Source organism: Homo sapiens, chromosome 14 (genome assembly GCF_000001405.40).
Source record: "Homo sapiens chromosome 14, GRCh38.p14 Primary Assembly".
Classification (NCBI taxonomy): Eukaryota; Metazoa; Chordata; class Mammalia; order Primates; family Hominidae; genus Homo; species Homo sapiens.
Genome location: NC_000014.9, coordinates 97510473 through 97525937, shown reverse-complemented (window position 1 = coordinate 97525937; position 15465 = coordinate 97510473). Strand labels below are relative to the sequence as shown.

Here is a 15465-nt window from a genome sequence, read left to right as displayed (position 1 = left end):
TGTGCGTGTGTATATTCACAAGGCACTGTCGTGTTAGAGGGTAACATGTCCCTTTCCCAGTGGGCAAAAGGAGGAAATACGAGGGTGCAAGGGGGTGTGTGCCAGTTGGGTCGACTCACCTTAAAAAACATTCACAAAAGCCCCACACCAGGGCCTCTGCACATGTGCCATTAATCTCAGTGCTGCTCCATGAGCTCTCGCAGCCAGAAGTGAGGCTGGGAAAGGTAAGGTGATTCCTATTCCAAATGAATCAGGGTATTCTCACTACAGAAGGAGATGGAAAGAGATTTTGAGTGAGAAGTGAACAGTCTGTCCACACCCACTCTGTGTCTCTCCACAGCATAAAATTAGATACCGCAAGGAAACACATGTATCCAAGGTCTTTCTGGAGGTCTGCACATTGTCATTTATCATGCCTAGATTTTGATAAGGATTGGGACGGCAAGACCATGAGGTCATGTGCTCTGGTGAGGCTTGGAAGTCTCTGCTGTGACTCGGGTACAGAGGGTTTCGTTCATGTCTTTTTGTGGGTGGTGGTTAATCAGTTTGTACGCATGTATTTTTCTCTGTCACAATTTTCAAGAAAAAAAAATTGCATCCTAAGCTCCTCTGCATCATCTTCTCCCTGCATTGCCTGTGGTCATGGGTATCACAGGGAAGGATACCCTGGGAAGAGCAGACTGTTCTGGTGGGCTCTCCCGTGTCTTCTGTCCAACCCCAACAGGACCCAATGCCAGGAGATAAAAGTGAAAGAAGGAGCAAGGCGGGGGCAGGGGTGGAGAGGAGACATAACCCCAACAAAAACAACCAAAACCAGAGACCAGCCTGCTTAATGCTTCCTCTCACCACTCCAGCTGCCCACACACATTTCCTGACCAACCGCTACCGCCAGAGCCTATTATTCATTTCACAAATCCATTATTTAACAGTGTACTTAGGAGAGAATGAGGGAGAGACAGGGAAAGTGAAGCCAAAGTGTCTTACAGGCTCTATTTGAAATTGTAAGCAAATCTAGTTCTTGGAAAGGTTGCAGATGGGTACCCAGAGACTAAATCCCTCAGCTTGTCCACACACACACAAAAAAAGGAAACAGCAGGCAAAGCTATTTACAAATGGCACCTCCCACAACCACTAACAGGGGATGCCTTGTGGTCTGGGTAAACCTAGTGGAATCTCTAGACAGCTTCACCGAGGAGTGCCTTAGTTCACAACAGTAATGAGGTTGTCCACATAAGCTGTTCATGTATGAAGATCACACACAAAAAGGTCTTCCCCGCTGTGACGGTTAGTCTTATATGACAACTTGGCTGGGCCAAGGTGCCCAAATGTTTGGTCAAACATTGTTCTGGATGTTTCTGTGAGGGTGTTTTTGGATGACATTCTCATTTAAATTGGTAAACTTTGAGTAAAGCAGATGGCCCGCCCAATGTAGGTGGGCTTCATCCAATTCTTTGAAGTCCTAAATAGGACAAAGTCTGACCTCCTCCAAGCAAGAAGCAATTCTGCCAACAGACAGCCCTCGGACTTGAACTGCAGCTCTTCCTCGGTGTCCAGCCTGCCAGCCTACCCTGTATATTTAAGACTTGTGCCTCCACAGTCACGTGAGCTAATTCCTTGAAATAAATCTCTTTCTATACACGTGTCCTGTTGGCTCTGTTTCTCTGGGGAATCCTCATATATCTAGAGACTGAAGCTAGGTTCAGAAGTAGCTTCATTTGTCCATGGAGTGAATGCTTCTTGCATGCCTACCAAATGACTCATGAAAATACGGAAATGAAAGGTGTGGCTTCTGATCTTAAAGAGTTCCCAGTCTGCTGGGAAGTGGGATGAGAGAGTCCTGAATCCTGTGGCAACGTGAAAAGATGATGTAATGCAGGGCAGGGACTTGATGCTAAGAAAGCTTAAAACAGGGACCTGAACCCAGCCCAGGAGCAACAGCTGAGCTGAGCCTAAGAAAATAAGTCAAAGATGCCCAGGTAGTAACATGGCTTACAGGGAAGTGAACAGCACCAGCGAAGTGTTGAGGCAATGTTATTCTTTCCACAAGACAGACAGTGAGAGAGTGACAGCTGAGGAATGCAGCAGAGCGGACTGGCCTGCAGAGGCGGTCACTGCTGTTGAGCATGTGGCTCATTTTCAGGTACTGGATGGATGATTCTCTCAATGCTGAAGCTGCCTGGGTGTTAAGGGCTGAATTGAGAGAACCTCAAATTTGCTTGTTGAAGGCCTAACCCCAGTACTTCAGAATGCAACTACATGTGGAGATAGAATTTTTAAAGAGGTAATTAAATTAAAAGATGGTCATTAGGGTGGGCCTCAACTCAATACAACCGCTGTCCTTATAAGAAGAGAAGATTGAGGCCGGGCGCCGTGGCTCACGCTTGTAATCCCAGCACTTTGGGGGGCTGAGGCGGGCGGATCAGGAGGTCAGAAGATCGAGACCATCCTGGCTAACACAGTGAAACCCGTCTCTACTAAAAAAATACAAAAAATTAGCTGGGAGTGGTGGTGGGCACTTGTAGTCCCAGTTACTCAGGAGGCTGAGGCAGGAGAATGGCGTGAACCCAGGAGGCGGAGCTTGCAGTGAGCCAGGATCGAGCCACTGCACTCCAGCCCAGGTGACAGAGCGAGACTCTGCTTCAAAAAAAAAAAAAAAGAAAGAAAGAAAGAAAAGAAAAGAAGATTGGGACACAGACAGGCACAGAAGAAAGACCACATGAAGACACAGGGAGAAGGTGGCCATTGACAAGCCAAGGAGAAAGGCCTCAGGAGACACCAACACTGCCGGCACCTTGATCTTGGGCTTACAGCCTCCAGAACTGTGAGGAAATGAATTTCTCTTGTTTAAGTCCCCCAGTCTGTGAGACTTTCTTACAGCAGCCCAAGTAGACTGAGTTTGTCTGTCCTAACCCGCCATGCAGCTATGAAATATTTTCTGAGCATCTACTTGATGCCAAGCCTGAGCTGAGCACCAGTGAGGAAGACTAGCAAGGTCCTTTGCCTCCAGGAGCTTATGTTCTAGTCAGAGAGAAAGACAAGAAAGAAAGAGAATTATTGAATAGCAGGATGATTTCAGATGGCTGCAGTGGCTGAGAAGTAGGAGAAAGAGGATGATGCAATGGAGAAAGACATGGAGAGGGAGCTGCCATAGCCGGAAGCATCAGGCAAGGCCTTAATGACGAGAAGACTGTTGATCTGAGAGCTAGGGGACAAGATGGAGCCACCAGGTGCAGCTCCACAGTCATAGAGTTCCCGGGAGATAGAAGAGCCCTTCAATAAGGGATGATCCTGGCGTGTTCGGGTCACTGGAAGTCCAAGGTGGTGGGAGTATAGTGAGTGAAGAGTAGAGGGGCCACTGATAGAACCTAGATCTCCTCCAGATGAAAACTAGTGGTTCATTTATCTTTGTGTCTCTTTCCCTTGCCTCAGTGAAGAAAAGAAAGAAAGAAAGAAGGGGAGGGGAGGAAAAGAAGGCAAGAAGGAAAGAGAAAAGAAAGGAAGGAATGGAAGAAGACAAGAAGGAAGGAAAGGAAACTTACCTAAAGGATAAAGTGGCTTAAATGGGATCAGATTTAAAAATACCAAAATCTCACAGGATAAGTTTGTTGTTCTGAGTTGCAAAGACCAGGAAAAACCAAAAGAGAAAGGAGAAATGAGACTTTATAAGAGAAATGCACAAGCATCCCACTCCTGGTACAGCTTGGGGCTGTCTAATGAGGGCTCAGCCAATACAATATCATGCACCAATCTGGTATTTATTAATAAGGCAAGTCATGATTTTTAACTGATTATGGTACACAGACTACTCCCATCATTAATATAAATGAAATAGGAGGAATGGTGCCAAATGTTGCAAATGGGGACTGCCAGGAGACTTCACGGTGTAATTAGTTGAAAACACTAAGTATATCAAAGAACTGGTCTGTGAGCAGAACGGTTCAGTTCATCAGGAAGGAAGCAGACATGTTTATGTGTAAGGAGACTAGACATGGAAGAAAGTCAGCTTAGAAGGTGCTAGCAGTATGGGGCTCACATGTTCAACTCAGAGGAGATATCTAAGGTCACTGTTTTATTTAGAATCCCTTAGATACCATAGGGTAGACCTGTGTCCCCAATGAGATTTATTCACAGACATATTCTAACTGGCTTGCAAAGAAGGACCCCTTAGTTGTCAAATGGCTGTTAGTTTGAAAGGGAATACCCTTCACGTTTATTGAGCAATTACTATGTGATAGGTGCTCTACGTGTGCAAATCATTTGCTGTTCTTGCATTACTAAAGTACATTTTACAGATGAGAAATACAAAGCTCAGGAAGCTCAAGGAGCTTGGCTCAAGACCAGATTTCAAATGCAGGGGTGCATGAATTGAACATCCGTTTCCTTCCTCCAGGCCATACTGCCCCTGGAAAGACTCCGCCCTGTGAAGCTTAAAAAGTACCCTAAAAATTCTGCAGTGGAAAAAGACCTGGCCCAGAGTCAGAAAGCAAGATTGCAAGGTCAAGTATGGCCACTGAGAACTGTGTGATTGCATCTGTAAAGCAGGATATTGACAGACAAAGGTAAGGTCTGACTATTTTCTGTGACGAGGCTCTCTTCTAAATAGTCTTAGCACATTTCATCATCCAGTTATTTTGTGTGGACAGGCAGCAATACTACCCTCCGCTTTAAAGATGAAGAAACAGGTATTCTGTGACCCACTCATACCAGCTCATGACAGACAAATGTAAAATTTTCAGAAATTTTGCAGTCCAGTTGTTAAATACAGATATTATTAAAAATTAAATTACATAAGCTTACATTTAAATACTCCATATTAAAATCAAAGATAATAAGCACTCCAAACATAACACTTCCTAATGATTTTACTATAGTTCACTATTATCTAGGACCTTGAATATATTTAAATCTGATGTGCACTACTGCCCATCTCTTTCTAACTTCCTGTTCAGTGACATGATATTGGAGGCTTGAAATCAGCCACAATGTGAGTATTTACACCAAAGAAATCATCCACTCATACATATCAAGGGCCTTTTTTTTTTTTTCTTGAAAATCAACTGTTACACATTAACCAGTACGTCACTGAGATCAAGAGACCATTCAAGGTCAAATCCATATAGGAAGTATGTCAGTTTGACAAACTCAAGTCATAGAGACACCTCCAGGTCATCTCAGTGGAAGGAAGTTTCTTATGAAGATACACAAAAAAGCAATAATAAAATAAATATTACATATTAAATAAAATATTAATGATGATTCTTAATAAAGTAGAAGCATTATTTATGATCATGTCTTCCAGATTCAACCTGAACTTAGACAAGATATATTGCCTAAACTTTTCATTATGTCCAATCAATTATATTTTTCATCCTAAGTATTGATTTCTCTCATCAAAGGAACAACAATGTCTTCTCTGTTCCTACAGGCCTTTGATGTGGGGAAAGACCATTGTCTTTACTACTGATGCCTCCAAAGAAGATACGGCCATTGTCTATTCTCTCCATGTTCTTTGTGCATCAAAGATGCAATCTGAAATGGTGAGACCTCAGCCATGCACAACACTCAGCAATGTTAGATAGCTATGACTCTCTGCACCATGATCTTTTTTCTCCGTTCTGTGACTGTAGTTGTATTAATTGTAGTTGGTGGTGGTGGAGGTATGTGAATGACCATATATCATACAGGTGATGTAGGAAAGACAGGGCAAGGCATAGTAGGTTGGGTTTCCCATTGATGACTGTTCCTTTGCAAGTCTACAGGTAAGGTGCCCACTCATAGTCAAACTGATATCTCAGGCATGTCAACTGATATCTCAAACTGATATCAAACTGATATCTCAGGAATTCATTTCCGATGTGGTTCTCATTAGGAAAGCTTTCTTCTAATGGTTTTATAAAAGCATTTTGGCATGTGCATAAGGAATGGCATGGTGCCAGTGCATCACAGCAGGCAGAATCTGTAATGAAAATGTCTGGGAACAAGGTACCGAATGATGGAGCACCAGCCGATGAACCAACAACAGGTCCAAGCACATTATCCTTCAACAGGGTCCAGGAGAGCTACCTCTTCCATAATGGATTTGAATGCTTAGGCGTTCTCCTTATGTTTCAAGTTAATGTTCCCACATTTGTTTTTCTTTTAGGAAACCACAAAGCCAAGGTAGCAAGAAACAGCATGGTGTAATGGAAGGAGCACTGGTCCAGAGTCAGGAGACCTGGCGTCCAGTATGTGCTGCACCTGTCTCACTGATGGGCATCACACAGCATCCCTTCTGTTCTCTGGGCCTCAGTTTCCTCATTTGCTAAGAAAGCAATCTGGCTCAAAATTTCTGAAGACTTATTCGATTTGGACAAACTGGCTTAAAGACCCATGACAATGCGAAAGACTTTTCCCATCCAAAATTAAAATTAAAATTAAGCCTTTAAATGCAATTTTTGGCTAACTCGTAAAATTCACATAAATGTATTACCATCCAGGTGTTACAAGACTTCCATAACTACCATTGTTATGGACACAAAACAATATACTCTCTGAGCTGAATGAATCAAGATTTTATTAATCAGTCCCTAATTGTTGCACATTTTGTTTCTTAGAAGATATTTTGGGGAGTCAACTCAGCTCAAAAGAAAATCCCCCTTCAATGAGAGCTTTCTCATCCCCATCATCCATAAGGAAGAGCCCTCTGGCATTCCTTGCTTTTGCCAAGTAACCAGAACTTCCTGACTACAGTTGATTGGTCCAGGGATGAACCCCAACTTTAAATGTGTCAATCAGATCATCTCTTCTTCGAATAGGAGTTGGATCATGTGCCAATATGTAAGCCAATCAGGTGGATGGAGTGAGAGGGAAAGTATCCTGGTAGGCTATTACTTGGTGACAAGCCCACCACTCTGAAGCCATGGTGGTGAGGAAGCGAAAGGCAACGTTGCCAAGCCACCCAATCTAAGCAAGAGTATTATGGAGTTGGAGGGGTGGGGGTTATTTACAAAGAGAAACCTAAAATCGGGGGTGGGCAGCAAGGCAAAAATTGATTATTTTTCTATGTCTTTTTATAACAAACCCAGAGCCAGAGAGGAACTACCTTGGATCAATTCCTATGACTTCCATTGTTATCTTAGATGTGAACTTTGATTCTTAATTTGGCATATTACCTTGTTAATCAATGACTGAACTCAATCGATCAACACACTACATGTGCATATGTGTATGTGCATGAGTGTGTGTGCATCTGAGTATGTATATATGTGTGGGGGGGTGGGTGTGGATGTGGGTGTGTCTTTAATGCAGACACAAAGCACCATCTCCAAATTCTGATCTTGTGGGTCTAGAACAGGGCCGAGGAAACTGAATTTTACTAAAGCTTTCCTTCCACTCCAGGTGATTTTGACACCTAACTACAGTTTGGAATACATTGCTGCTGATCACTGGGACCTGTTGAAGGTACACTTGTAGATAAGTTATTCCGATGTGGTTGCAAGGATGGATTGAGGAAGCAAGGCAGAAGAAGAAAAAGTAGACTACTTTTCCTAACACAGGAGTTGATAGGCCAGGCCAGAACCAAACCAATACAGCACAGTTAAAGGAAATACAATCAAGAGCTCTCTTAGATCCCACGCACACATGAGAAGCCTGTGATGATTCTTGCCTGGCCAGCTGGGCAGTGACCTGCTTTCAAGGAGAAAGCAGTTGCTGAAGGAGGAGATGCTGCCACCACCTCCCCAATAGCATCCTATGATCCAGCCTTGTTTTCACTGACCCCACAGTTGTCTCTCATGCTTCCACGCCTTAGAATATGCTGTTCCTTCTACCTTTCCTTTTTTTCTGCCTAGGGAATTCCTACATGTCTGTCACACCAAAATTTCAGCACTAGACTTCTGGAAAGCTTTCTTTCATCTCCCTGCCCACTGATCCCTCCCCACAAGGCCTCCCAATTTTACTTTAGTCTGAGTACCTACCCACCTCCCTGACACGGCTGTGAGGCCCTGAGGGGAGAATTAGTGCCCACTCACTTTAGAATCCTAATCACCCAGCAGATGGGCTGGTGGCCCTTGTTCTAAATAACCACCGATTAGTCACTGTCTGCCCGCCTGAGTGCCCGCATCATGCTGTGTGGGAGAGGGAATGGAAGTTGGGACTCTGCAAAGAGACATCCTTTCCTACCCCATGAGCTGACTGGCCATGTGGGTGTTTCCAGAAGACAGAAAGTCTCAAGGCAATAAGCCCTCTCCCCAGAATGGAAGGCTGGGGGTAGGCTAGATAAATGCAGTTTTACAGGATTTTCTGTTTATCTGATTGAAGCAAAGCAAAGTTTGCCACAGGATTTGCTTCTGCATTGTGAGATAGCAGCCTTTGATGGCAAATAAAAGCTACATCAAATGGGTATTTTATAACATCTGGGTACCTGGGCTTAACGTTTATGCCTTACAATTTGTAGACTGGCCAAAGCATCCCATGTGTTTTAGAAGAGTCTTATTTTTAAAGTATAAAATGTATAATATTTGATTTCCTTGAGAACACCTATATGTTCAATGCACACATTGTTAAGAAATAGTGATGGAGGACACACACCTACAGTGTTGCAGAAATAAAAAAATTTGGCTTCTTTCTTAATTTGTAAAGAAGAGGGTTGGGGAAGGAGGGTGCATCAAGTGAGGAATGACTTAATGAAATGCTGAGCTTCTTCAGAATCAGAGGCAAATGTGTCTGTATCATGGCCAAAATGATATAAAACATTTAATATCATCTCTGAGCACATCACAAGTGCTCTGAATAGGATCCCAGAATTTCGCAGCTCCCTCTCCGGAAACTCAGGAGTCTGGGGCTCAGGGAAGCCTACATAGCGGCAGAGTTGGCATCTCTGCGATTCCTCCCCTTTGGGAAGAAGAAAGCTGTCGCTTCTGTCACCTGGACTATGGAAGGAGGAAGCTGCAGTGGCAGCTTTGCTTCCTGAATCCCATCCCACCTGAATCTTGGAGAAGGAATTCCAATAGTTGTGTCAATACAGAAATTCTGCTTCCAAATCCTGGGGTTCTTACCTGCAAATGACTTTCATAGCAAAGGCAAGAGAGATCAGTTTACGCACCATTTCCCCAGTGAATGCAGATCACCTGATATTTTCCAAGAGAAATGTAATTATCTCAGTATTTCCAAGAGGTGGAGAGAAATAGTACCCAGTTTTTCAGCCTCCTGGATGTGGGACATTTCTGGGGAGTAAGAATAGCAGTGGGGGAAATGGCTTACATCTGCCCAATTCTTACTATGTGAAGGCCAAGTTCTGAGATCTCTGCTGATGTTAACCCATTTAGTTCTTTCAAACCTCATCAGCAGTGGGCAGTGCATTGCCCCTGTTCCAAAGATGAGGAGAGTGAGCCAGAAGAAGCCACAGCTACTATGGGGCTTGATGACTGTAGAAGTCAGCCATTGGGTGTAGGAACTGAGGAGGGGGAGGGTTGTGGGAAATTCAGGAAGACAAAGGAAGGAGCTGGCATTCGACTGTGCAAGAGGTTCTTGAACTTCAGTGGACAACAGAATTACCAAAGGAGTTTGCATATTCATTTCCTCCACAAGACTTGGAATAAAGTCATGCCTATCACAAGTATTCTAGTTAAATATCCTTTGGGATAGCCCTAGAATGGAACATTAAAATGGGGCAGCTCTGTTCTTACAGATAGCGATGCTCTCGATGACAGATGGATCCGTACCAAAGGCATGATGGAGAGCAGTGTGACCCTGTGCTGCCACTAGCTTGAAATATCCACTCGGTGAAAGGCTGAACAGTGATAGGACACTTCTGGAAGGATACACAAGAAACCGTGAGTTTCTCTGTATCAAAGAAACTGGTGGCTGGGAGATGTGAGGGGGAGCCAGTCACATTTTACTGTTCATCCCATTTTCATGTGTTTTGAAGTTTGTACCAGGTATGTGTATTGTTTTATCAAACAATCACTCAAGCAACTGTGCGTGTGTGTGTGTGTGTGTGTGTGTGTGTGTGTGTGTGTGTGTGTGTGTAATGCCAGCACCAGACCCCATCCACAAATCCTGAATCTGAGAGTATGGGGCTGAAAGGGCAGTGACAGGAGTGAGAAGGGGCTTGGGCCAGGTGCTGTGAGGAGATGGCTGCTCCTCGGGGCTAAAGTGGATCCCCTGGGCGCCATGGTTCATCCCTGTAATTCTGGCACTTTGGGAGGCTGAGGCAGGTGTATCACTTGAGGTCACTTGAGGTCAGGAGTTTGAGACCAGCCTGGCCAATGTGGTAAAACCCCATCTCCACCAAAAAAATACAAAAATTAGCTGGGCGTGGTGGCAGGCACTTGTAGTCCCAGCTACTTGGGAGGCTGAGGCACGATAATTGCTTGAACCCAGGAGGTGGAGGTTGCAGTGAGCTGAGATCGCACCACTGAACTCCAGCCTGGGTGACAGAGTGAGTCCCTGTCCCAAAAAATAATAATAATAACAATAATAAAATTAAAGTGGATCCCCTGAACATTTTCCTGTGGAGGCCTTGAGGCCTGGTGTGGCTGTATGTGCAGTAAGGAAGTAATTAAGATTAAACGAGGTTGTGAGGGTGGAGCCCTGGTCCCACAGGATTAGTGTCCTTATAAGAGGAGACATCAGAGATGGAGGGTGGTCTCTCTCTTTCACCTGTATGAGAACACAGCAAGAAGACTGAAACCCAGGAAGTGGCCCTCACCAGAAACCAACTAGGCCAGCCCCTCGACCTTAGAGTTCCAGCCCAGAATGATGAAAAATAAATGCTTTCCTCAGTCCCTAGTCTGTGGTACTTTTGTTGTGGCAGCTGGAGCTGACTAATACAAGGGCTAAGGGAGGAGGCCGGAGCCCATTCCAGGGAGGTGCAGCCCACCTAAGACATTTGGGTAGTGCATGAAAGGCCTGAAGGGACGCGTGGGAGAGACAGAGGAGAGCAGAGCAGGGACTTCAGATGGAGGGCAGCCTCCTCTCCAGGAGAGCCCGCCTGCCCACTGAAAGTTCCAGTGCCCACTGGATCAGGAAGAATCATTCTGCACATCTCAGCAGCCAGTTCAGGCCTGCATGACTAGAGGCCACTGGCGTGCACTCCTTCTTCCTGAAGCCCTCCTGGCAGGCCTGCCCCTCCATCCTGGGAGTGGATTACTCCCTTGAGGGCACTCTGCAGCAGCTTCGCCTGCTGGTGTGGACATCTACCCAGGCTGGGAGGGCCCTTCCAATGTCTCCTCCCAAAGGCCATGCCCACTGCTCCCTCTGTGAGGTCTGTCAGTGGATGTGGTCAATTCTCCTAACTATCTGTCCAAGCCTTGGTGAACGTTGATCACAGTCTCCCAAGTGGATGCTCTGTCTCACCACAAGACTGTGAGCCCCTCAAGGGCAGCAAATGAATTTAATTTGTCTCTGAATTATTGGCCCTTAGTATAGTTTCTGTCACAGAGGAATGGACATAAGTATTTGTTGAGTTAACAAGTAAATGAAGGAAGGAAGGAAAGGAGGAAGGAAGGAAGGAAGGAGGGAAGGAGGGAGGGAGGGAGGGAGGAAGGAATGAAGGAGGGCAGGCAGGCAAGAGGGAGGAAGGAAGAGGTGGAAGGAGAAACAAAGGAAAAAAGGAAGGAAGGAGGGAGAGAGGGAGGAAGGGAAGGAAGGAAGGGAGGGAGGAAGGGAGGAAGGAAAAAAGGAAGGAGGGAAGGAAGGAAAAAAGGAAGGAAGGAAGGAAGGAAGGAAGGAAGGAGATGATAGATTAAACCAGGCTATTGACCCTCTAAAAATACTCTCTTATAGCATAAGGGAGCAAGAAATCAAATGAAAATATTCCCCGGGGCTTGGAGTCCCAATATTAAATCACAAGTCAAGGAGATTTATGCTGCCTTTTTGTCCATGTGTGTTTTCGTGGTATAAAGCCTGAAAATGGGTTTACTTCACGGTATCCACTCAGAATTCCCCACTTACTGGAATTAAATATTTCAAACAGAAATACGAGATAGTTAAACGTGACTTAAGAAGATGTAGGAGGCAGAGTTGTGGATTAGTCTTGGCTGTGTGACCTTGAACTTGTCACTTGGTCTTTCTGAGTTGACTTCACCATCTGTAGAATAAGGGGAATGGCTCTTGCTGTATTCACAGCGCTGTTTGATGTGAATGTGTTTCACAAATGCCAAAGGGCTCTGTAAATGTGACAGCATTTTTATTTCTCTATTTGGCATTAATAAATAGTAAACACATGAAGGAGACTGTAAGACATTTCCCTCACTATATCCCCAAAACATAGCAGAGACTCCAGCACAGAGTGGGTCCTTAGTAAGTGCTTGGGGAACAGAACTGGGGGCTCTATGTGTGTCTGAATGTGTAGGCATATTATCCGATAATATAGACCTGGATATAGATACAGATAAATACAGACACACACAGGATTCTCATTGCCATCTCATACTTACAAGGGGGAAGTGCACTTCCCTGGCAAGGTAAGCAGCCTTAGAAGGGTCTAAGCCCCACGATATTATGACATGGGCTGGGAAATAATTCAGACTTTATATTATCTCAAGTAATAGACCTAGTCCTGGTCAAGAGCATCCCTGCCAGTCACTGCCATTGTCTGAACTCACACATACTTTTACCACACCCACAGTGTTTGGCCACACTCGTCTCTAAATTCTAACTTGTGGGAAGGAAGAACTGTCTAAGAACTCAATGTCTCTCAAAGCCCCCATATATCCCTTCCACTTGATTCCCTTCCCAAACTGGAGCATGCATATGAACAAAATTGAATTCTGCCCATTAATTTGAAATCATTCTGTACTGATATAACATTTCAACCCTGCCAAAACAGTTTCTATTTCTGAGTAATTCTTTATTCCAAATTCTTCCAATTGGCATTCTTTTCAAAATGCTGGGCTCCAGTCTCTGTGGAGGACTGCAGACTGCATATGTCCCCAAAACATCTTTGCTTTCTTCAAAACTTCCCCAAGAACTCTTGTGGCACCATCCCTGTTCCATTACTCTCAGCAAGTACCATCTTCTGGATCCTTTCACTTCCAATTTGAGTCTGGTATTTATCATTTTTGTTTGGAATTATTTTCACCACTGGGAGACAAAAAATAACACCTTGTTCCATGCACAGAAAGAAGCCATAAAAAATAAAAGACACATAGAAAAACCCACAATAAAAATATTCCTATTGGTTCTCCTGATCTTCTTCCACCTTTGCTTTTCTCCAAATAAGTGGCTCTCCCTGCCCTCATGAACACTTGTTTTGGGGCAAGTACATTGGGTTAAGTAATATGAAATTTATCAACCAAACCAGGGTACTTTTGGGAGTTAAGTTAGTTATTATTATTAACTACACCAGAATAACAGACATAAAATGAGACTGTTCTGGACACATCAGAAAATATGTTCAAGGCAGGAATAAAATATGCTGTTATTAGGACTTCTTTAGGTGCAAGTAACAGAAACCCAATATGAAGTAGCTTTTAGAAAAAAAAAATGTATAGATTTAGTATGTTATTGGCTCAGCATTAAGGTGGATTCAGTCACATCAATATTCCATGTCACCAAATTCATTTTATCTTGCCATCCTTCTTTCCTTTGTTTCTCACTGCTCAGCGCCTTCTCTCCTATTGGATACAGACTTCCTCCACGTATCAGGGGAGATAACTGCTCCATGTCCCAAAAGGAAAGCCCTCTTTTCCTCTAGGAAAAACCCTGAAATGAACATAGATTGTCCTATCTTGCATCACCTGCTCACCCCTGGAACACATGCCTTCATCAGGGGAGAAGACACCATGATAGAGCAACTCCAATGTATGTTGGTGGAATGAAGAATTTCAAACAAAAATAATTATGCAGTATGGACTTAATAAACTGGATGTAAGGCAATGTTTCTGAATAGTGATGAGGGAGAGGAAAAAAATTACCAATCCACATCCTACAGATTCAGAAGACTATTTATTCTCCTAATTTTCCCACTGTGTAGATGAAGAAACTAATGCCCAGAGAGGTTGAGTATCTTGCCCAAGATCGCACAGATAATCAATGGAGCATCAGGGAATCACATTTGAACCCAAGACTCTCTGAGGTGGGGCATTTAGAGCTTTCTCTTCTTCCCCTGCCTTGCACTGCCCTGATTGTGAGACATAACTCTTTCTTAGTCAAGACTGACTTTGTTTTTAAGCAAGAGAAAAGTAACACAGACTCACTTGGGCAGAAAGGAGGATCAGTGGCTCATAATCCAAATGTAGGGTGTCCATGGGTACAGGCATAATAAGGGTGGGGAGGGCATCAGAATTATCTCTACCTGATTCTCCCCACACATTAACTTCACGGCCTTAGAATATCTGTTTCTATGAGGTTGAAACCATGGCTACCAGCAACTCCTGGGCTCAGATCCTCACTGTTTAGAGATCAGAGTCCTTTCCCTCTCTCCCTTCCTCCTACTTACATGCCCCATGCTCAACTGGGGTTCGGATCGGCCCAGTCTGAGTCATGTGTTCACAAGCAACCAATCAGATGGCCAGGGATGTGAGGAGCTATGATTAGTCCAACTCCAGTCAGGTGCCCACCATTTAGCCAATCACTGTAGCTAGAGCTGCAGGGTCAACGAAGAATCAGGAAGGTTCTATCAGGCCAGTAGGAAAATGGAAGGAACTTAGTGCACACTATAGATTCTTCCCAAAATTAGTCAAACTGGCTCTCAAATAAGAAATTTGGGAAATAAGTGTTTTAGAATCATTTTGTCTGCATACAACCATATCTCCAACATGTTCTTTCTGAATGTGTTTTTGCCCAAATTCTGAATTTTTACTTAAGTGCAGTTAACTCCTCTTCATGTATCTCAAGGCAAGTTGTCTGTTGAGCCAATATTTAAGGATGGTGTCAGCTGTAACCTTGGCTTTTTCCATACGTCCTAAATTTTGCAAGGGCTCCAGGCCCTTTAACTCTGTTGCACAATAGAACTTTGGGTAGCATGTCTAATAAGTGAAAAAAACCTTCTAGAGATAATGGGGCAGTATATTTGAAACTGCAGCTGCAGTGGAAACCCTGGGCTGAGCTTCAAGCAAAATGTGGCAGAATAATATTTCTGAAATATAAACTAAAAATTTTTTTTTTCCTGAAAATTCTTTCCCCAACCCTCTTTGAACAGCCAGACTTTTCTTGTGCTCATTGCCTCAGAGGTAGAGAACATCAAGGCCAGAATATAATATGCTGCTTGTATTTCTCTGGCTTTTGTCTTCCAAAAGCCCAGATCCTTAGGGAAACAGTGAAATAAACAAAAGCATGAAGGGTTGAAGAAGTTACAACTCTCCCTCTTTTGTCTCCTGACCTCAGCCTAAGGGGAGAAGGAAGGAAGGATGATGCGAGGGAGAGATAAAGATGTGGACACTGCTTTTTATTTAGTGCAAACAGTACCTTGACAATGTGATTAAGGTCAGCACCATCCGTGATGCCATGTAGATACCATGTGCCCCATGCTCTGATGGGATA

General features: G+C 44.0%; 1 long non-coding RNA gene across 1 annotated transcript in view, besides 1 other annotated feature; it reads right to left on the bottom strand.

The window, feature by feature from the left end:
* The window catches only part of LINC02325 (long intergenic non-protein coding RNA 2325), a 122568-nt gene that overhangs the window by 55446 nt on the left and 51657 nt on the right, over positions 1-15465 (bottom strand). The window lies entirely within an intron of this gene.
* Positions 251-420: an enhancer, noted in NCBI's record as "experimental_38981 CRE fragment used in MPRA reporter constructs". NCBI's record gives its function as "activates a minimal promoter by MPRAs in K562 erythroleukemia cells, with activity observed for both the introgressed and non-introgressed 14:97991940 variant alleles {active_cell/tissue: K562}" and the evidence as "EXISTENCE:reporter gene assay evidence [ECO:0000049][PMID:34662402]".